Source organism: Homo sapiens, chromosome 4 (assembly GCF_000001405.40).
Source record: "Homo sapiens chromosome 4, GRCh38.p14 Primary Assembly".
Classification (NCBI taxonomy): domain Eukaryota; kingdom Metazoa; phylum Chordata; class Mammalia; order Primates; family Hominidae; genus Homo; species Homo sapiens.
Window position 1 is genome coordinate 154781940 of NC_000004.12, and position 23437 is coordinate 154805376.

The 23437-nt window shown below is 36.8% G+C and overlaps 1 protein-coding gene and 2 pseudogenes across 10 annotated transcripts in view; all 3 read left to right on the forward strand.

Moving 5' to 3' along the window:
- The window catches only part of RBM46 (RNA binding motif protein 46), a 47542-nt gene that overhangs the window by 668 nt on the left and 23437 nt on the right, over positions 1-23437 (forward strand). For 7 of the 10 annotated variants that reach the window (NM_001277171.2, XM_006714120.2, NM_144979.5 and 4 more), the window contains exons 2-4: positions 14803-14964; positions 15872-16339; positions 16843-17625. In NM_001277171.2, coding sequence (NP_001264100.1) covers positions 14814-14964; positions 15872-16339; positions 16843-17625 — 1402 coding nt within the window. In that variant the 5' untranslated portion in view covers positions 14803-14813. Of the gene's footprint in view, positions 1-16; positions 36-13636; positions 13656-14802; positions 14965-15871; positions 16340-16842; positions 17626-22501; positions 22576-23437 lie in introns of those variants that run through there. The other 3 variants (XM_011531697.3, XM_011531694.3, XM_011531696.3) reach the window with 3 other exon arrangements.
- Positions 5179-5339, forward strand: RNU2-66P (RNA, U2 small nuclear 66, pseudogene; annotated as a pseudogene).
- On the forward strand, positions 8352-8545 carry RNU2-44P (RNA, U2 small nuclear 44, pseudogene; annotated as a pseudogene).

Below are 23437 nucleotides of genomic sequence, written 5' to 3' on the forward strand. Positions count from 1 at the left end.
TCAGCAGTCTGGTTTCAGAATTGAATTCAGGCTGGGTGAGCTTTAGCGGGCTCCTAGTCGTTTGCGTGGAGTTCTAGCCGGGACTGAGCCTCGAACTTTACTTTGCCTTTGTCTCCCTGTTTCTTCCCCGAGTACCTCGTGTGTGCTGGGCTGTGGGCAGTGGGAGGCCGCGGGTGCACAGGGAAGATAGCTCGCCTCTCCCCCGACACACGGACGGCAGCACACGTCGTGGCACCGCCTTTGTTTCCTAACATCTGGTAGTTTTTAAACCCCTAATTTAAAAATGTTTCTTTGGAGCTGCTGGAAAAACCACAGAACCAGCGGCATTTAATCCTGGCGTTGATATTCTGAGATATTGCGAAGCTGCTTGATTTATTTGGGCACCAGTTTTCTCCTATGTAAATTTAGCTTAGGTAATATTTAAGTTCTTTAAGCTTTAACTGTCTTTACATTCTTGATAAATTCCCCGTAACCTTTATGTTATGTGGTAATCCTAATATAGGCAAATATCAAAGAGGAAATATCATAAGGAGTTTTTTTGTTTTGTTTTTTGTTTTGTTTTGAGACGGAGTCTCGCTCTGTCTCCCAGGCGGGAGAGCAGTGGCAGGATCTCGGCTGACTGCAACTTCCGCCTACCGGGTTCAAGCGATTCTCCTGCCTCAAACTCTCGGGAGTAGCTGGGACTACAGGCGCGCGCCACCACGCACAGCTGATTTTTGTATTAGTAGAGACAGGGTTTCACCATGTTGGCCAGGATGGTCTCGATCTCTGGACCTCATGATCCACCCGCTTCGGCCTCCCCAAGTGCTGGGATTACAGGCGTGAGCCATCGCCGCCGAGCTTTTTAAGTCTTGGCTTCTCTTAAAAATTGGCCTGATTTTGTGTTTGAGAATGGCGTTATAACCAGGAAGCAGGATATGTTGCGTGTATAAGGAGAATAACATATAAAGGACATGTTCAAGGGTCTGTAGAATTTTGCTTATTTAAATAATGGGAAGATATTTTCGTTTCAAGAATCACCACGATGTATATACAGTTTGACAGACTTCCATTTGGATCTTTTCAGAATTGAATCTCCTTATGGGGGTCTAATAATAGACTTGTTTTCAGGGCACACGTTTAAAACATTCTACTTTAAACTTTGTTTGCATCTGTCTGCATTTGTTTGCATTGTTAATAAAATTTGTTTGCATCTTTATAGACATAAAGATGACAGTGCTGCCTGCAATCACTAAATATTAATGCTTTCTGCTTAAGGCACTGCTTTGATTGCTGATTTTCACTTAAGAGGTTGGAGTAATGTACTTGAATATTATTGCCAAATATAATACATATCAACACTTAAAATATATGCATTACTGGATATATTATGAAACAAGAATTATTAATAACGAGAACAAACCCAGTTTATGGACTGAAATTAAGTCTCAGGTTTAATGGTGTTATTTTATTGTTAGGAGAAGGAAGACATGTCAGTTTAAGTAGAGTTTGTGACTACAAATCAAGTAATTGCTGTAAAAATTGTCCAGATTTGCATATTAATGCCGAATGTTATTTCTCATTTTACTACCCGATGATTGATGAGGCAAGAAAATGTGATCTCTATGTTCAAATTGGTAACAGATTTAAAATAACAGATTATGAAGGACCTTGTGTAAGGAATGGTGTACTTAATTTGGACAAGAATATGTAGATATCTTTATCCTGAATTCAAACAGCATATACACCTTTGTGTTCAAAGCAGTATTTTTTAAAAGTATTAGTTACAGTTTTTTTAAATAGTTCAATTTTTAAGTCATTCAGAATTTAAACTTAATATTAAAACTTTTATCCATTATATATTTAACTTCTAGCAATAAAATGTGCTCTCATTCTTTAATAAAAACAACTTAAAATGGAATTGAACTGATCCATCTGTACACTTATTTCGAAATAATTTTAGACTTCCATGTCCACACACTTTTGATTAACTCTTCTCGTTTTCCAAGAACGAGAAGTGTAGTGGCTGTAGTGCAGTCTGTCACTAAAATGAATTGCTGCTTAAAAACAAACAGAAAACCTCCATTGACCTGGCAACCATTGACCTGGCAACCATGGTTTCCATGTACCATACTCAATGACAACAGTGCTAACAAATCAGGAGTTTAGTACCATGTAATTCAAGAAATGTCATAAACATTTAATGTGCCCCTATAAAGGCACGCTTTGATATTCTTAATTTTTTTCATTATTACATTGAGTTTTTAAAACCCACAGTAAGATTATATAATGTTCTCTTTCACAGCTTTCTAAATTTTTACAGTAACTTGGAAGATGAAGTTTCAGTTGAAGTAGTTTTAATACAGCTGACACAGTTCCTTTAAATAATTTTCATTAATGTTTTGCTTAAATTGTGCTTGTCTTTTTTCATTAATATACTTTCTATTTTTGAATGGCAGTACAAATTTGAAAATACATATTTTTGATAATTGTTAAGAAGGTTAAAATTAAAGGAGATATAGTTAGCACTTAAAGATAAAGGCTTGATTCACATTGTTACTTGAATAGCTTGTGATTTGCTATCCTGTCTTGGCCTTTTGCTTCATACCTTAGAGAGGTTTTTTCCTTCTATTTTTTCTTTTGAAAGTGAGCTAGAGAGGAATCTTTGAAAGTCTACAGTTTAGGGAAAAAAATACATATCTGAAAGCTAGAGTTAAATATGGCACAACTTTTAATTTCTCATTCCCACTTTGTCTGCAAAACCATTTTTGACATTCTACTCAGGATCCCTCCTTCTCTTACTTGGATTACTTGGGTCAGCAGGGTAAGGAAATAAGTTTTTAGAACGCTTTGTAGTGTGACTTCACACCTGAAAGTGGCAGAGGACAAATTAAGTCTGGAAGCCTCAATTGGTATGTCAGTTTTGCTTTAATGTATAGGACAGATGTGCTTTCTTGGATATTTAGGTAACAGGTTGATTCTGGAGTATTTTAGAATGAATGTATTGTATGCTTGTTTTAGATTTGATTATATTTCTCTGGCTATTCTTGAATTTTGCCTCTTTTAGAAATAAACTTTTGTTAAATTAATATGTTAAAGTTAGGTAATTTTGAACTTTCTTGTGAATTATACACGTGCATATATTTTGTTTTGGAGGCTTTGAGATAAGGGTTTTTTTTTCTAAAGAGAATATAGGATTGGTGACTCTTCAGTGTGTCTTTTACTTCTGTAATTTCAAGCTTTCATAATATTTTGATTGAGATTTCTTGAGATGTACAAAGTCTAGCATATGTTTCTAGTCATTATCTAGTAAAAGGAGCCTTTAATGTGTATGGACTGGCATGTTATTTCATTGTAAGAACCTAAATAATCTCTTTAAAAATAGAACTTTAGAGACATGAATTAACCCAAAAAATAGGTCTGTAAGGTAATTGTAGAGATGGGTTGGATTGCAGAAATCAGCCATTTGGAGCTAGCTGTGAATTGTAGTTAAAAAAAAAAAAAGTCTTGTTTATTAAGTTAAATTCTACATTTTGGATAAAACGGGAGCATATTTATTATTTCTATAACCAGTAAGTAGCATATGTAAGGTACCATATTAAGATTGGTGCAAAAGTAATCACAGTTTTTGCCATTACTTTTAATGGCAAAAACTTTTGCAACAGTCTTAACTAGATTCTTGTTTTTTCTCTCACTGTTTTTCCTGTAGCATGTTTAAAAAAATACAAATGTCACAATTCCCTATTCACATTTTATCAACATGATCTTTAGTGTAGTGGGCCAGTATGATGTCCTGTGGGATGTCGAGGCCATTGAAGACTCTCTGGACTAAATTATTGAAGAGAGTTCAGAGTTATGAATTTCTGAGGCTCCATGGTTTGGGCCCTTGGTCTTTTCGATTACTAATTTTGTGACTTTAAGCAGGACTCTTCACCGTATTTACTTTTGGTTTTCTTGTCTACAGTATTGGAGGTCATCTAAGGTCCACTTGCAGTTGTAATATTACTACAAAATATTCAGTGATGGTTTAATGGCAAAACCTAGAGTCAAACAGTGTTGAGAAAGGTGGTTATATCACTTAAAATGCTCTTAATTTTAAAGGAATGGTGATAGAAAAATATTGAATTTTTTAAAAGACAAAAGACTGAAAGTTGGTTGCTCAGTCAATCCTTATCTTCTGTTTTTTGAGATGGAGCCTCGTTTTCTCCCCCAGGCTGGAATGCAGTGGCACGATCTCAGCTCACTGCAACCTCCACCTCCTAGGTTCAAGCAATTCCCCAGCTTCAGCCTCCTGAGTAGCTGGGATTACAGGCGCATGCCACCATGCCTGGCTAATTTTTTTGTATTTTTAGTAGAGATGGTGTTTCACCATGTTTGCCAGACTGGTCTTGAACTCCTGACCTCAGGCAATCCACCTGCCTCATTCTCCCAAAGTGCTGGGATTACAGGCGTGAGCCACCGTACCTGGCCAGTCTTTATCTTATTAGTGGTTCTGATTACAAAAAATAACATTTCTTTTATCTGAATCTATTAATATTACATTGTTTTATTTATTGCATTTGGTGTCACATAAATCTGTCCATGAGGTATAGTGTAAGATACAAAGCTGATAATACAGACATAAGACTTTTCCCTTGATAAAAATTATTGTCTACTTTCTCTTTCTGCTGTTTAATAAATGTGTGAGGATATTCATCTTAAATCTTCGGTTAAAAAAAAAAAACAGTAGGCCAGGTGCGATGGCTCACGCCTTTAATCCCAGCACTTTGGGAGGCTGAGGCGGGTGGATCACGAGGTCAGGAGTTCAAGACAAGCCTGACCAACATAGTGAAACCCCACCTCTACTAAAAATACAAAAATTAGCCAGGCATGATGGCGCATGCCTGTAGTCCCAGCTACTTGGGAGGCTGAGGAAGGAGAATCGCTTGAACCTGGGGGGTGGAGGTTGCAGTGAGCCAAGATTGCGCCATTGCACTCCAGCCTGGGTGACAGAGCGAGACTCCTTCTTGGAAAACAAAAACAATAACTGTGTGAGGTTAGTAAATTATAAGAACCTAAAAGCAATATAAATGAGATAGTACTTATCATATTGAAATGAATAAGAAAGGAGGAATTGAGGGAAAGCTGAATAGCTTTTTTTCCTTCTCTGGAGATAGATCTTTATAATATAACTTTATTATTTTTCAATAAGTGAGTTTCTACTCTTCTCGGCCATTTGGCCAAGATCAAGTATAGTATGTGTTCTTACCAGTTTAATATCTGATATGTCTTCTATCTGAGGACAAATTTTTTTTTTAATACTTTAAGTTCTAGGGTACAATGTGCAGGTTTGTTACATATGTACACATATGCCATGCTGCACCCATTAACTCGTCATTTACATTAGGTATATCTCCTAATGCTATCCCTCCCCCCTCCCCCCACCCCATGACAGGCCCCGATGTGTGATGTTCCCCACCCTGTGTCCAAGTATTCTCATTGTTCAGTTCCCACCTATGAGTGAGAACATGCAGTGTTTGGTTTTCTGTCCTTGCCATAGTTTGCTGAGAATGATGGTTTCCAGCTTCATCCATATCCCTACAAAGGACATGAACTCACCCTTTTTTATGGCTGCATAGTATTCCATGGTGTATATGTGCCACATTTTCTTAATCCAGTCTATCATTGATGGACATTGGGGTTGGTGTGAAGTCTTTGCTATTGTGAATAGTGCCACAGTAAACATACATGTGCATGTGTCTTTATAGCAGCATGATTTATAATCCTTTGGGTATAGACCCAGTAATGGGATGGCTGGGTCAAATGGTATTTCTAGTTCTAGATCCTTGAGGAATCACCACACTGTCTTCCACAATGGTTGAACTAGTTTACAGTTCCACCAACAGTGTAAAAGTGTTCCTATTTCTCCACATCCTCTCCAGCACCTGTTGTTTCCTGACTTATTAATAGTCACCATTCTAACTGGTATGAGATGGTATCTCATTGTGGTTTTGATTTGCATTTCTCTGATGGCCAGTGATGATGAGCATTTTTTCATGTGTCTGTTGGCTGCATAAATGTCTTCTTTTGAGAAGTGTCTGTTCATATCCTTCGCCTACTTTTTGATAGGGTTGTTTGATTTTTTTTCTTGTAAATCTGTTTAAGTTCTTTGGAGATTCTGGATATTAGCCCTTTGTCAGATGGTTAGATTGTAAAAATTTTCTCCCATTCTGTAGGTTGCCTGTTCACTCTGATGGTAGTTTCTTTTGCTGTGCAGAAGCTCTTTAGTTTAATTAGATCCCATTTGTGAATTTTGGCTTTTGTTGCCATTGCTTTTGGTGTTTTAGTCATGAAGTCCTTGCCCATGCCTGTGTCCTCAATGGTATTGCCTAGGTTTTCTTCTAGGGTTTTTATGGTTTTAGGTCTAACATTTAAGTCTTTAATCCATCTCGAATTAATTTTTATATAAGGTGTAAGGAAGGGATCCAGTTTCAGCTTTCTCCATATGGCTAGCCAGTTTTCCCAGCACCATTTACTAAATAGGGAATCGTTTCCCCATTTCTTGTTTTTGTCAGGTTTGTCAAAGATCAGATGGTTGTAGATGTGTGGTATTATTTCTGAGGGCTCTGTTCTGTTCCATTGGTCTATATCTCTGTTTTGGTACCAGTACCATGCTGTTTTGGTTACTGTGGCCTTATATAGTTTGAAGTCAGGTAGCGTGGTGCGTCCAGCTTTGTTCTTTTTGCTTAGGATTGTCTTGGCAATGTAGGCTCTTGTTTGGTTCCATATGAACTTTAAAGTAGTTTTTTCCCATTCTGTGAAGAAAGTCATTGGTAGCTTGATGGGGATGGCATTGAATGTCTAAATTACCTTTGGCAGTATGGTCATTTTCATGTATTGATTCTTCCTATCCATGAGCATGGAATGTTCTTCCATTTGTTTGTGTCCTCTTTTATTTCATTGAGCAGTGGTTTATAGTTCTCCTTGAAGAGGTCCTTCACATCCCTTGTAAGTTGGCTTCCTAGGTATTTTATTCTCTTTGAAGCAATTGTGAATTGCTTCACATGATTTGGCTCTCTGTTTTTTATTGGTGTATAAGAATGCTTGTGATTTTTGCACAACGCTTTTGTATCCTGAGACTTTGCTGAAGTTGCGTATCAGCTTAAGGAGATTTTGGGCTGAGACAATGGGGTTTTACAAATATACAATCATGTCATCTGCAAACAGGGACAATTTGACTTCCTCTTTTCCTAATTGAATACCCTTTATTTATTTCTCCTGCCTGATTGCCCTGGCCAGAACTTCCAACACTATGTTGAGTAGGAGTGGTAAGAGAGGGCATCCCTGTCTTGTGCCAGTTTTCAAAGGGAATGCTTCCAGTGTTCGCCCATTCAGTATGATACTGGCTGTGGGTTTGTCATAAATAGCTCATTATTTTGAGATACGTCCCATCAATACCTAATTTATTGAGAGTTTTTAGCATGGAGGGCTGTTGAATTTTGTCAAAGGCCTTTTCTGCATCTTTTGAGATAATCATGTGGTTTTTGTCTTTGGTTCTGTTTATATGATGGGTTACGTTTATTGATTTGTGTATGTTGAACCAGCCTTGCATCCTGGGGATGAAGCCCACTTGATCATGGTGGATAAGCTTTTTGATGTGCTGCTGGATTCGGTTTGCCAGTATTTTAGTGAGGATTTTTGCATCAGTGTTCATCAGGGATATTGGTCTAAAATTCTCTTTTTTTGTTGTGTCTCTGCCAGGCTTTGGTATCAGGATGATGCTGGCCTCATAAAATGAGTTAGGGAGGATTCCCTCTTTTTCTATTGATTGGAATAGTTTCAGAAGGGATGGTACCTGCACCTCTTTGTACCTCTGGTAGAATTTGGCTTTGAATCCATCTGGTCCTGGACTTTTTTTGGTTGGTAGGCTATTAATTATTGCCTCAATTTCAGAGCCTGTTATTGGTCTATTGAGGGATTCAACTTCTTCCTGGTTTAGTCTTGGGAGGGTGTATGTGTCCAGGAATTTATCCATTTCTTCTAGATTTTCTAGTTTATCTGTGTAGAGGTGTTTATAGTATTCTCTGATGGTAGTTTGTATTTCTGTGAGATCGATGGTGATATCCCCTTTATCATTTTTTATTGCATTTGATTCTTCTCTCTTTTCTTCTTTATTAGTCTTGCTAGTGGTCTATCAATTTTGTTGATCTTTTCAAAAAACCAGCTCCTGGGTTCATTGATGTTTTGAAGGTTTTTTTGTGTCTCTATCTCCTTCAGTTCTGCTCTGATCTTAGTTATTTCTTGCCTTCTGCTAGCTTTTGAATGTGTTTGCTCTTGCTTCTGTAGTTCTTTTAATTGTGATGTTAGGGTGTCAATTTTAGATCTTTCCTGCTTTCTCTTGTGGGCATTTAGTGCTATAAAATTCCCTCTACACACTGCTTTAAATGTGTCCCAGGGATTCTGATATGTTGTGCTGAGAACAGATCTTAAATGGATTTTTGGAGCCAGGAGAGGGAATAGGAGCTTGCTCCATCTGCTCCACTCACTGACTTGATATTGCAGTACCTCCAGGTATGGTGCATTCCCCTCGGGGGAATAAATTTTTAAAAAAAGCAAAATGAGTTTCTTCAGAATATCACATATACCTGTTTTTCAAATGTAAATACATCTTAAAATGAATTATCAGGGCCCAGATTGTATTGATGGGTAGATATTCTATGATATTACAATTATGAAACAATGTTGACTATTTAAGACAATGCAGAATTCTATTACTAATGGTCAGACTAGGGAAGTTTTAAGATGTTTTCTGTTTATATTTGGACAGATAGCTCTTAAGTTTGCTAATATGAAAAGTTTTATCTTGGAAAAGCGGGAAAAATTAGCCATTTCATGGATGGGACAAGTGAGTAAAAGATCAGACGGGAGGTAGGAAGAACTGGCAGGTTGAATCTAATAAGATGAGATTAAGTTGATTCTAAATTCGGATACTTGATATAGGGTGGGGCAGATTTGAGGTTTTTGTTGACAGCATGCTGAATTTCAACCGACAATAGCATGCAGCTTTGTAGAACACCATTGTGCTGTTTATCTGTATTGCTGGAGTTTTCAATTTTGGCCAACCACACTTTTGAAGGAAGAAGAGACAGGATAATGAGAGAACATAAACTATGTCATATAAGAAACAGTTAAGTAGCATTTTCCCATGGTTCTGTAGAAACTTAATAGATAGGCTAAGGACAATTAGGGTATCATGCTGAAACACTTGAGTTAAAGCTGGAAAGTTCTTTTTAACTGAAACTTTTCTTGGCCTTAAATATGCAGATGATCATTGTGATCCTTTTAAGAGGGATGCATAGTGATTTCTCAGGTGTGTTTAGACATCGAACACATTTTGGAGACCTTTTAATCACCTCTGGAACAATGTTTTAAGGGATGCCAGTTTAGGAAGTGTCTGGTTAAAATAACTGGTAATGAGGTCAGGTGCCGTGACTCACGCCTGTAATTCCAGCACTTTGAGAGGCCAAGGCGGTGGATCACTTGAGCCCAAGAGTTCGAGACCAGCCTGGGTAACATATTGAAACCCCATCTGTATAAAAAATTAGCTGGATGTGGTGGTGCATGACTGTAGTCCCAGGTACTTGGAAGTGAATCATCTTTCAAATGCAGTTATATGAAAGGGGCAGGTTCACTTTTGCCAGAAAGTTAAAATCAAGATCGAAATGTGAAAGTTAACCAGGAAAGAGATTATGATACATTATAAGAAATAAGTTTCTTAAATAATTATTCAAAGTTTAGTTGCTCTAGAGGATAATGAGTTCTTTGTAAGAATAAAAAATAAGATGCATATCTTCTTTGTGGCAATATTATAAAGAGGATACACATATCAGGTGGGTGGTTGAATTAGATGATTTTTAAGGTTTCTTATAAATCTGAAATTACTTTTATTAAGGGTTTTCCAAAAAGTTTTGTTGCCGGACTTTTCCATCTAAGTTAATACAATGTTTGGGTTGTTTTAAAAGCATGAAATAGTTTTTCGGAGAAGGTATGAATAATTGATTTGATGTTATAATCTAAAAAAAATTGTGAAAAAAATCTGGATTCAGGTATTTGTGTTGCTATTTGTAAGTTACATGACCTCAAGTAAATCACATAGCTTTTCAGAGATGTGAATTTTAAATATCTAAAATTAGAGTAGTACAAGTAGGGGTTAGTAGCCCAGCATTTGGGCAAACAGATTTCTGATTTGAATACCATATTTACCTTATCAATTTAATAGCACTATTACTTTCTCTCTTAGTCTCGTTTTATGTATTTTTAAACTGGAAAAGAAAAATATTTACAGATTACTATAAATAATAAATGAGATAATGTATATAAAGTGCGTGTCATTATATGTGGTATTTAATATGCTAAATCATTAAATGTAGAAGTAAAATGGAATTTCATAGATTAAGAAAGTAAAGGTCAGAGTTGTAAAGTGCTTGCCAAAATCTGACCAACAACTGGAATTCAGGTCTTCTCCCACACAGTTGCATTATTTTTAGTTAAATCATGATGTCTCTCCTTCCGTGTCTCATTCATTGAATGAATAGTTATCATATGCCAAGGGGTCTGCATGGTGCTTTGGATTCAGAAATGAAAGGCTAGACCCTTTTCAATGTCTGGTAGTGGGAGAGAGATGGAGGGAATTGACAGTCACAGCACGCTGAAATGGATTCTGTGATATAAGTACATATAAGGGAATACTTGATTTAGAGTTGAGAGGGAGGGTCAGGGAGGGTTTTCCTGGAGAATATTAGGAATAGGAAAGGCCAAGAAAGTAGAGAAGGACTATAGGAACAATCTATGTAAAGGAACATATATGAGCACCTGGCATATTTGAGAATTTGCAAATAGGTCAGCATTGTTGTTGGCATATCATAAGAAATGAAGCTGGAGGAAGAGATGATGAAGAGATCCTTATGGCTTTCTAAAGAGTTCAGATTTTATTTTTAAGGAACTGGGAAACCCCTGAAAGGGCTTTTTATTTAATTGAGTAGCACATGCTCTTGATAATCACAGAAAAGTGAGAAGTAAGGGTTACTTGAGTCCTTATTCCTACTCACCAATGATAACTACCAGTAAAGTTCCTTGTAAATTATTTCAACATTTTTATATTCCTACACAGCCATCTATGAATGTGTACATGTATATCTTTAAAACAACACACAGTTGATATGAAAGTAAATATATTTTCTACTTGCTCTTTCTCACGTATTTCTTGAATATTTTTCCATATCAGTACATGCAAATCTATGATATTCTTTAATAGCTTCATAACATTCCCTGTATAGTTGTATCCTGATTTTTGATGCAGTCCTCTACTGAAGAGGAGCTAGATATTTTCTAGACTGTTATTTCTATATACAGTGTTTCACTGAACATTCTTATGCTTATATCTTTGTATACTCTTGCAGTTATATCTGTAGGTTAAATTTTTAGTAATTATGAAGTATATGTGTATTTTAGATTTTGATAGCTATTATCAAATTTTCCTCTAAAAGGATAATTTCAGTAATGCATACATGCTAGCAGTGTATGAAGTCTTAAGTTTTCCCTGAGTTTTCTGTTGGGCTTCCCAGCAGATAATTATTGAGTACCTTCTGTGTGCCAAAGACTGTGGTGGGTACTTGAGAAAGTGTTGAAGGCTGAAGTGGTCTCTGCCCTCATGCAGCCCAGAGTTTGAACCGTAGGAAGCCTGCAGGTGTTTTGTTTGGTCTGTACACTTTCATAGCTGTTTGACAAATTAATTTTCAGTTTTTAAATATTGAGAGATTTTGAAAAATTGGAAAATTTGGTATAACTAGGCAAGCTGGATTCTCTTGTATTAGTTTGCTGGAGTTTAGTAGCCACTGCCTTTTTCAGATGGTGCATTGGACTTTATAGGAGCACGGTCGATTCCATTTCTTATGGTCTCATTTCTTGACCTCTTAACATTTCTTGCCAGAGCCTTGTAAAAGCATTTGAGTGATCGTTTGATATTCAAATTTAAAATTCCTTAAACTGAACCCTGATCTTACCCCTAAAACCAGTTCTACTCAGTGTTCATCTCTTTCCTTGTTGCTTAGGCCAGAACTGTGGTGTCATCCTTCACTTGCCTGTTTATCTCACAGTATGTCAGAAAATTCTGTTGGATGTACTTCAAAATATATCTCAAGTCAGACCCCTTATCCCTTCCACCTCAACCTCTCTGGCCCATGCCACCATCATCTCTTGCCTGGATTTTAGTAGTAATCACTTTTTTTTTTTTTTTTTTTTTGAGATGGATTCTCACTCTTTGGCCCAGGCTGGACTGCAGTGGTGCTATCTCTGCTCACTGCAAGCTCCGCCTCCCGGGTTCTTGCCTTTCTCCTGCCTCAGCCTCCTGAGTAGCTGGGACTACAGGCACCCGCCACCACGCCCGGCTAAATTTTTCTATTTTTACTAGAGACGGGGTTTCACCGTGTTAGCCAGGATGATCTCGACCTCCTGACCTCGTGATCTGCCTGCCTCGGCCTCCCAAAGTGCTGAGATTACAGGCATAAGTGGTCTCACTGCTTCCACCTTTGCCCTTCTACTGACTTCCCCATGCAACAGCCAGATGATCCTTTTAAAATGAAAGAACCTGTTACTTGTATGCTCAGAATCTATAGTAGCTCCTCATTTAACTCAGAATAAAAGCTAAAGTTTATAAGAAGTTACCTAACTTACAAGGTATACCTTGTACATGCCAAGTACACCTTTATATAAGGCCTTTGTCTTGGTTTCTCCATTTGTATGGGATGTTCTTCCCAGATAGCTGCATGGGTAGGCTCCTTAATTCTTTGCTGGAAGGTTACCTTTTTGGTGAAGTCTGCACTAGCTTTCCTGTTTAAATTGGCAGGTTCTCTTCCCTTGTCAACCTTCCACTGACCCATGTGCCCTATTCCTATTCCTTTTTTCCCTAAGTATTCTTACCTCTTATTATTTGCTTTTTTTTTTTAATCATCTGTTATTTTTTCCCCATTAGAGTGTAAGCTATGCAAGGGAGAAATTCTGGCCTTTTATTTACTAATAATATCCCAGATGTAAGGAATAGTGCATAGAATATAGTTGGTCCTTAATAAATCTTTGTTGAACAAATGAATGCATTTTGAATTTGCAGGCTCTGCTGTGCAGTTTGTTTTTCTTACTGTTTTATTAGGTAATAATAATAGGAAATACATGTATAGTGCTTATATGCAAAGACCTATTTTAAACCCTTTATTTTGAATCCCCTGAATCCTTCTACCCTGAGGTAGAAACTATTATTATCTACTTATTATAGACAGGTAAACATAGGCATTGAGAGGCTAAATAATTTGTCCAAAGTCAGAGCTTAGTAAGGGAAGAACCAGGATTCAGATTTTTTAGCCAGTCTTGAACCTGAGTCTGCACTTTATAACACCATGCTGTCCTTTTTATTTTAAGGAAATTAGCTCTTTATGATGTATTGCAGATCATTTTTCTGTGTAATTTTTTTGACTTAGTTTTTGTGGATTTTTTCTTTTGCCTTCTAAAGTATTTTTATGTAGTAAAAAAATCTATTAATGTATTTTTTTGAGGGATTTGTTTGTTTCAGACAGGATCTTGCCCTGTTGCCCAGGCCAGAGTGCAGTGGTTTGCAGTCACGGCTCACTGCAGCCTCAAACTCCCAGGTACCTTTGAAGCTTTTAAACTTATTTTTTAGAAGGAGCTCCCTGATTTTAAGATTAATAATTTAGTCATTTTCTTCCTTATTTTTGATTTGAAATAGAAGTTTAAATTAAGCAGATATATATTTTATATCACCTTGATAGCATTATGGAGATTTTGAGGGCAACAAAATTAAAAGTTGGAACAGCATTTAGGAACCTAGCACTAATTGAAGTAAAAAATAATCATCTGAGAATAGGCTGTAGGGATGGACGGGAATAGACTGATTTCAAGAAATATTTAGGGCCGGGTGCAGTGGCTCACATCTATAACCCCAGCACTTTGGGAGGCCTAGGTGGGTGGATTGCTTGAGCTCAGGAGTTTGAGACCAGCCTGGGCAACGTGGTGAAACCCAGTCTCTACACACACACAAAATAAAAACAAAAATTAGCCAGGCATGGTGGTGTGTGCCTGCAGTCCCAGCTACTTGGGGGACTGAGGTGGGAGAATCACTTGAGACCAGGAAGCCAACACTGCAGGAGCCACCTTCACACCACTGCACTCTAGCCTGGGTGACAAAGTGAGACTCTGTCTCAAAAAATGAAATAAATATCTGATAAAATCTTCAAGTCTTAGTGACTGATGAGCTGTGCATCAAAGGACTCTGGGATAACACCCAGATTTCTGGTTGTGAGAGTTTGGAAGAGAGGAAATATGTTTGTTGGGGTGCCATTTATTGGTTGAATGTAAGCCACAGGAAAATCCAGTTGGCTTAGATGATAAAATGATTTAAATTTTGGGCTATGTAGATTGGCAGGTATATTCATTGATGGCTTACATTTTGTTGTTACTCTGTTTGCTTTCCTTTTTCTTCTCTTTCACTTAATTTTGTTTTTTCATTCTTTGTTGCTTTCTCTTTTTCATTGTTTGTGTCCCTTTCTTATAGCTTAGGCCTTCTAAAGGTACTGCATAATTGGTCAGTGACATTGAAAGAAGTTTCCAAGTTTCCACTGTAGGGAAGAGCTTTGGGGCAGAACCTCAGAGGACAGTGAAGGCTAATCAAACATGCCAGCCACAACTGTCTTTGTTTTTCTGCAACCCAAAGAAATGCCTTATAGATTCTTGGTATTCTGTTGTAAACTTAACCAGTGTTATTAAACTTTATTTTAGGAACTGCAACCATGAATGAAGAAAATATAGATGGAACAAATGGATGCAGTAAAGTTCGAACTGGTATTCAGAATGAAGCAGCATTACTTGCTTTGATGGAAAAGACTGGTTACAACATGGTTCAGGAAAATGGACAAAGGAAATTTGGCGGTCCTCCTCCAGGTGTGGATTTGTTTACAGTCTTTTAAATTTAATCTTTAACCTCGTCATGTAGATTAGATGTGTATCCCCACAAGTATTCCAAACAATAGCTCTCTCCTTGTAACTGCTTTAAGACATTTTTTTTTTTACTGTTGAGGAGAGTTAAATTATAAATGTTATTCATGTCTTACCATTACATTTTTTCAGCCCTGCTCTTCATCTAAGAAGCAGTTGAGAAAGAAGCTGGGCTAGGTTGAGAAAGAAGTCAGGATTAGGAAAGTAGGAAAAAGGGTGCTACTCTAGGTGTTAAAGAGGAGATCATCTGGGGAGGAATTTGAAACAGCAGTGAGTAAGTGAGTGGTGTTTAAACTAGAAAACCAAATGGAAACAGGTAAATAGAATGTTCGACTTTTCTACCAATAGTCAGTACAATTCCTTTGCCCGAAACCCTTCAGTTTATCACACTTAAAATAAAAATCTGGCTTCTGGGTACCTCAATGGCTGTAGCACTTACCACTTTCTTCCTTTCTCACGTACATGTTAGCTGTACAGGCTTCCATAATCTATGTTGCTCTGACATAAAAGCGCTTGCTTTTTCTTCTTTCCAAATGCCCTTTTCCCAGATAATCCTCATGGCTCACTCCCTCATTCTATTCAGGTCTCTGCTTAAATCTCACGTACCCAGAGATTTGCCTGACCACTCCCTTGATTTTCTTCGTAGCACTTAACCACTCACTTGTTATCTCCCTTCTCTATTGAATATTAGCTTCATAAGGGAAGGGGCTTTATTTTGTCCACTGTTGTATCACCAATACCTAGAATTGTGAGTGGCACATAGCACAGCAAATTTGTTGAATGAATATATGATTGAATAGTGAGTACAAATATCCAATTAGAATTTATGTGTCTTTTCATTTTTGTCGTTCAGGTTGGGAAGGTCCACCTCCACCTAGAGGCTGTGAAGTTTTTGTAGGAAAAATACCTCGTGATATGTATGAAGATGAGTTAGTTCCTGTATTTGAAAGAGCTGGGAAGATATATGAATTTCGACTTATGATGGAATTTAGTGGTGAAAATCGAGGTTATGCTTTTGTGATGTACACTACAAAAGAAGAAGCCCAATTAGCCATCAGAATTCTTAATAATTATGAAATTCGACCAGGGAAGTTTATTGGTGTGTGTGTAAGCCTGGATAATTGTAGATTATTTATTGGAGCTATTCCCAAGGAAAAGAAGAAAGAAGAAATTTTAGATGAAATGAAGAAAGTTACAGAAGGAGTTGTAGATGTCATTGTTTATCCAAGTGCAACTGATAAGACCAAAAATCGTGGTTTTGCATTTGTGGAATATGAATCTCACAGAGCTGCTGCTATGGCAAGGAGGAAACTAATTCCAGGTAAACTGAAAGGTTGTTTTTCAATATTAACATTATTACAAATATGGAGAGATGATAGTACATCAGGGATCAATATTATCAAAATACTAATGTCACTTAAAGAAGAGTAAAGAATTGTTTGAGTAATGAAGTAAAATAAATTACATGATTCTAAAAGACAAGAAATTGTTCCAGTAAAATGAGTCCTATTTATGATATTTTTACTGGATATATACACTTTGAGCTGTTAATTGTTGTTTAATAAAAATCCAAAGGGCAACACTTAATTCTTCTGATAAAGATCTATCTTTGAAGTGTATTTGTTCTATTGACTCTGAAATTACATAGTAAGTTTTAGTTATTTACTTTAGTAAAAATTTTTGTGTGAATAGGAAACAAATGCTTAACCAAATTTATTGATGTGTAGTTGAGTTTCTGCTTCTCTGGGGAAACAGTTTTACTGAACATCTTTACCTTTTATTCTTTATTTTAATTCTCTTCAAATTATTATTTTTTTTTTACAGGAACATTCCAACTATGGGGCCACACCATTCAGGTAGATTGGGCTGACCCAGAGAAAGAGGTGGATGAGGAAACCATGCAGAGAGTTAAAGTTCTTTATGTAAGAAATTTAATGATCTCAACTACAGAGGAAACAATTAAAGCAGAATTCAATAAATTTAAGCCTGGTGCAGTTGAACGGGTAAAGAAACTTAGAGATTATGCTTTTGTTCACTTTTTCAACCGAGAAGATGCAGTGGCTGCCATGTCTGTTATGAATGGAAAATGCATTGATGGAGCAAGTATTGAGGTAACACTAGCTAAACCAGTAAATAAAGAAAACACTTGGAGACAGCATCTTAATGGTCAGATTAGTCCAAATTCTGAAAATCTGATTGTGTTTGCTAACAAAGAAGAGAGCCACCCAAAAACTCTAGGCAAGCTGCCAACTCTTCCTGCTCGTCTCAATGGTCAGCATAGCCCAAGTCCGCCTGAAGTTGAAAGATGCACTTACCCTTTTTATCCTGGAACAAAGCTTACTCCAATTAGTATGTATTCTTTAAAATCCAATCATTTTAATTCTGCAGTAATGCATTTGGATTATTACTGCAACAAAAATAACTGGGCACCACCAGAATATTATTTATATTCAACAACAAGTCAAGATGGGAAAGTACTCTTGGTGTATAAGATAGTTATTCCTGCTATTGCAAATGGATCCCAGAGTTACTTCATGCCAGACAAACTCTGTACTACGTTAGAAGATGCAAAGGAACTGGCAGCCCAGTTTACATTACTTCATTTGGGTAAGTTTAAAAATACTTTAAATGATGTATAATATGAAATTAGGAAATACTGTAGATTATTTTTAAATTCATTTATTTTGAACTCAACATTAGTGGTAAGTATGTAACATAAATTTTATCTCAATTTTATAAAGTCATGATAACTTTCTTGAAACTTGTGCCCTGTAAAATCTTCCTACATTTAGCTTTTCTTTTTTTTTTTTTTTTTTTTGAGAGATGGAGTCTTGCTTTGTCGCCTAGGCTTATGTGCAGTGGCATGATCTTGGCTCATTGCAACCTGTGCCTCCTAGGTTCAGGCGATTCTCCTGCCTCAGCCTCCCGCGTAGCTGGGACTACAGGCACGTGCCACCATGCCAGGCTAATTTTTTGGCTAATTTTTTGTATTTTTAGTAGAGACAGGGTTTCACTGTGTTAGCTAGGATGGTCTCGATCTCCTGACCTCGTGATCTGCCCGCCTCGGCCTCCCAAAGTGCTGGGATTACAGGCGTGAGCCACCGCACCTGGCCTACATTTAGCTTTTTAAGCATTAACCTGTGGGAAAATTTGGTTTTACTGTAGTGTTCATAACCCTGTTTTATTAATTTATTGTTTTTTTAATGACTAATTCTCAGTTGAAATAAAAATTTTTTGTATAAGTTACAAGATATGTTCATTAAACCAATTTATTATAGAGTGTCCCTGCATCTTTGGTGAAGTCTACATAATGATCTTTTTGAGGGGCAGGGGATAGGGAGTTAGTAAAATCAGTGGGATTTCAGATGGGTCGTGTGTAGACACAGCTTTATGCTCACCAATCTGGAAATTTGTCATTATCACTCATGAAAGACAAAAAGCATCATTAAGAGATGTTTGTGACCATTCTCTTTTTAATTTCATGTTTTTCAAAAAGTAAATTTTCTTTAAAACGTTTGAAGGATAATTATGAAAGGCTTTGCAAAAGCATAGAAAGATATGCTAACTAAATATTTGACGTTGTGAAGGAAGAGACATAATATCACTATGGTGTTTTCCTACTTTCTGTTTTTTACTGTTAGGTTAGCCTCCCCCCTCCTCCACCCCCCAAAACCTGTTTATTTTTTAATGCGGCTATAGATTTTAGTGATGATTACTTTGTGTCCCAAATAATATTTATTGGAAGAGTAGTGGTTTCCTGAGAATCAAATAAAAGAGAAAGATCTTTTGAGTGTTATCATTGTTTCTTGATTATAATTGTGAAACTCTTCACTGAAAATTATTTTTTATATGGTTGCAGAACCATAGTACAGAAGCTTATATGTATTTAAAATTCATATTCTCAAGTTTAAGAGAAAACAGTCAAGAAAAACATTCTCAAAAGGGAGAATAATTTTTATATATTGTTTAGGCTTGCTTTTATATATTGTTTAGGCTTACCATAGCCACTGCCATAGTATTAGAAATTTTTTTTTTTTTTTTGAGATGGAGTCTGTCTTTGTCACCCAGACTTGAGTGCAGTAGCATGATCTTGGCTCACTGCAACCTGTCTCCTGGATTCAAGCAATTCTCCTGCCTCAGCCTCCTGAGTAGCTGGGATTACAGGCGCCCACCACCGTGCCCGGCTAATTTTTGTATTTTAAGTAGAGACAGGGTTTCACGACGTTGGCCAGGCTGGTCTTGAACTACTGACCTCAGGCGACCCGCCCTCCTCAGCCTCCCAAAGTATATTACAAATATTTTTAAGAGATTCTGATTTGGAGATATCAGCAAAACTTGTGGGACTAAAGGTAAGGTTCTGCTTGAAGACACATTTAAGCAGTGTCTTCAATTATTAGTTTGGAGATATTTGGGGATTTAGCATCATTGAAGCTAATAAATTCTTAGTTCTTATTTCTATTGATGCACAAAATAGAAGCCTTCAATTTTACTTTCAATAAAGACCATCTAAGTTAAAGATAAAATTGTTAGGTAGACAGCAAATAATTCAAATTAAGTTTCTTAGAGAAAAATGGGTCTAAATATTATTTTGGAGTGGGATGTAATTAGTTGCTGAGCAAGTTTCTCCCAAGATACTTGTGTCTGATCTACCATGCTAATACTGAAATATTTTTAAAATTTCTATCCTCCCTCATTCCCTTACACATAAACTTCTAAAATTCTTACAACATAGCCATATTAGTTTAATTTATGGCAAAATTATATGTAGACATTGTTTGCCCATTTCATAAAGAAGATTCAGATTCTATATGGAAGCAGAGCTTTTAACTCCCTTATTACCATAGTTAACTATATAGCATAGTTAAACCGATAGTTCCCTAAGAAAACACCTAATCAGGTACAATATTTTCAACTTAATTATGGTTAATTAGTGATCAAGGTAACATCAGTAAATGAAATCCTTAGTGGGCACATGCAGATTGCTTTAGTCATCTATTCCAGATTTTATCAACCTTGTATCAATGCTGATTTTAATAAAAAGTTGAACAATTTGTATTTTATGTATTTCCTCAATCTGTATTCAGGCTCAGAACAGTTAATATAATGTAAGCAAAATTCACATATAAACAAAAAGATTAAACAAAACCCTAGGTCCTATTTCGGTGGAGTACGCAAAGCCTGAGGTCTTGTCTATGGACAGTAACACAGAAATCCTTATGGTGCTTGACTACCTATGTAAGTGAAGATTGTTGAGTTAGAGGCAGGAAAATATATTTAGGCAGCTGAGAAGGAGAAAGAGAATTCAGGGAAGCAGAAGAGCCAGAGATCAGGGGTCTAGGAAACTTTGATCAGAAAACAAATGTCAGCCCTTCAGAGGTCATTAAAGTAGGGCCAGGAGCTGTAGACAGTGAGGAGGTTCTATGTTGCCATATGGCAGGTTAAGAGTAGATCTGAGTGTTGCCATAGCAGTGTTCTGGATCACTTTTTCCCTTCTGTTAATGTTGGAGCCTCTGGGTTTTAAAAGGTTGATGCCTTTCTAGTTACACCTTCTTTTAGTTAAAGGTAATAGGGTTTCATCAAATAGCTCAGAGTTGAGATCAATTGGTGGTAGTGGTGTGTTCTTGACATCCTAGTAAATACTTACGTAGTCCAAGGATTGAATTGTTTTGAAGTCTTGAGAGGTTGTTATTAGTTCCTAGAGTTTCTCAAACGAAGTTCCTTACCTATTAAGTCATCTTTTGGCTCTATTAAAGAATTTGAGAAGTCAAATTTTCTAGAGAATCCATTTAAGTACTGTTTTTAAGATATTTTCTTTGGGGATAGTAATTTTTTTTTAAGAATTTGCCTCAGTATCCTTATTTTAACCCTTTCAGTGTGATGCTATTTTGGGAATTACCATCCAATCTTAACCTTGATGATCTTTTACTATCATATGTGATATAAAGTCATTTTTTAAATTAATATTTTAGATCTCTTTAAGAGTGTACTTTTAATATCCATACAGTTTTGGTGTTACCACTTCTATTTCCCAAGTTTGAAAAATAAAAGAAAAAAAATTAGGCTTTGCTTAAATGGCAATCATTGCTGTTATGAAAAAAAATGTATGTCTTTTCAGGGATAACAGGCACCTACATGAGTACTAGAAGTCATGGAGTTTACTTCTGGTGAGCATTTAGTGATCTTACTAGCATCTCAAAAGTTCTTGGTTTACAGGTCCTTAAAATCAATTTTTAAAATATTTAGGTGTTTTTTTTGGTCCTATCTAAAGGAAGCTCTATTTTAAGCAAAATACCCTTAATAAAAGAAAAGCTGGAAGTTGGGGTTAATGCCAAAATAGAACCTTCCTTATCCTTTTTCACTTACTTAAAATTAGAGACTATCTTCATCTTCATAATGGCAAGGAATGACCTCTCTTATCTCACTGGAAACTCATTACCTAACCAGCAGGAAAAGAAATTATGGGCTGGGCGCGGTGGCTCACGCCTGTAATCCCAGCACTTTGGGAGGCTAAGGCGGGCGGATCACTTGAGGTCAGGAGATAGAGACCATCCTGGCGAACACGGTGAAACCCCGTCTCTACTAAAAATACAAAAAAATTAGCCGGGCGTGGTGGCAGGCGCCTGTAGTCCCAGCTACTCTGGAGGCTGAGGCAGGAGAATGGCGTGAACCCGGGGGGCGGAGCTTGCAGTGAGCCGACATCAAGCCACTGCACTCAGGCCTGGGCAACAGAGCCAGACTACGTCTCAAAAAAAAAAAAAAAAAAAAAAAAAAAAGGAAATTATGTATTTACTGGGTTATTTTTAGGGATCTGTAATCTGTAGGATAGTGAGTGAGTTTAATGGGTAGAATCCTGATATAGTTTGGACATTTGTCCCTGCCAAATCTCATGTTGAAATGTAATCCCCAGTGTTGGAGTTGGGGTCTGGTGGGAGGTGATTGGATCATGGCGGTGGATTTCTCATGAATGGTTTAGCACCATTCCCTTGGTGCTGTCTTCGCAATGGTGAATGATTCCTCACCACATCTGGTTGTTTAAAAGTGTGTAGCACCTTCTTGCTTTCGCTGTCTTGCTCCTGCTCTTGCCATGGGATGTGCCTGCCTCTGCTTCGCCCTCAGCCATGAATAAAAGTTCCTTGAGGCCTTCCCAGTAGCCTAGCAGATTCTGGCACCATGCTTGTAAAGCTTACAGAACTGTGAGCCAATTAAACCTCTTTTCTGTATAAATTACCCAGTCTCAGGTATTCCTTTATAGCAGTGCAAGAATGATCTAAACCAAATATAGACTGGAGGGTTAGAATAGATAGGTTCTATATTAAATATTTGCTATATGGAGATATCTTGGGTCATTCAGTATCACTTATTTTTAAGTAAGTCTTTTCTATCTTCACAATCTCGTTATCTGTTTAGTAATAAAGCAAACTATCAAGGCGAATAGTACTTCTCTTTCTAAAAGTCAACTCTGTTTTGAATCTGGGTCTTTCAGTATTGCCACTGCTTTTCTTTGGAGGATTCTTTGCATTGTAGAAGTGGAATAAACAAAATCAAGGAGATCAAGGAACGTCCTGGAGAGTTAGAGTTTTGAAGAAGAAAGTCCTGGAGAATACTTAGTGGAAAGAGGAAGGTAGTCTTATCTGTATTGATAATTCACCTTGTTGTATAATTTATTAGCAAATAATTTTAAGCAGGGCATCTCTTCTGTGTTTGTGTAATACTGATACAAGTGGTATTTTTTTCTTACTTGTATGGCTATTGGAAAATTTTTAAAACAGGGATGAAGAACCTGTCACTAACATGTGCCACTGATTTAATTTCATCAGATTTGTGTACTGTTGTTCTGGACAAAAATGATTAAGGTTGTTTTTTTTTTTTTTTTTTTTTTAAACAGGTCTTTTTGAAAGCCTCTTACATGCTAAGTGTGCTTTCCTAAGCATTCTGGAGCTAAAGATAAATAAAACATTGTTTTTTTGTTTAAGGAGTCACAGTCTAGTGATGAAGGCAGATACACAAATTCTTTGCATAGGTTATTTTGGGAGTAGAAGAGGAAAAAGGTATGCTTCCCTGACCTCAGTTGTAAACCCTTTGCAGAGTTTGTGTCAGAGAGGGGCACAACATGAGCAAACTCCTCTTAGAAAAATAGCATGTGGTGGTTTAATGGCAGGTAGTTCTGTATATTGTTTGCTTTCATAATTTCAGTGTGACTTAGGAAGAATTAAAGGAGTTGAAAAGATGTAAACATTAGTTAATTAAAATTTCATTAGTCCTGTTTCTTAAAACTTTGCTTTTTTTTCTTAGTGCAACTATGTTGGATATATCTGCTTTTCCTCTGAGCAAGTATTTTTTTCCCAGATGAATCCATCTTGATTTGTGTGGACCATTTTGTGTGTGAATATTCATTCTTACAATATCTTTTGTACTTACT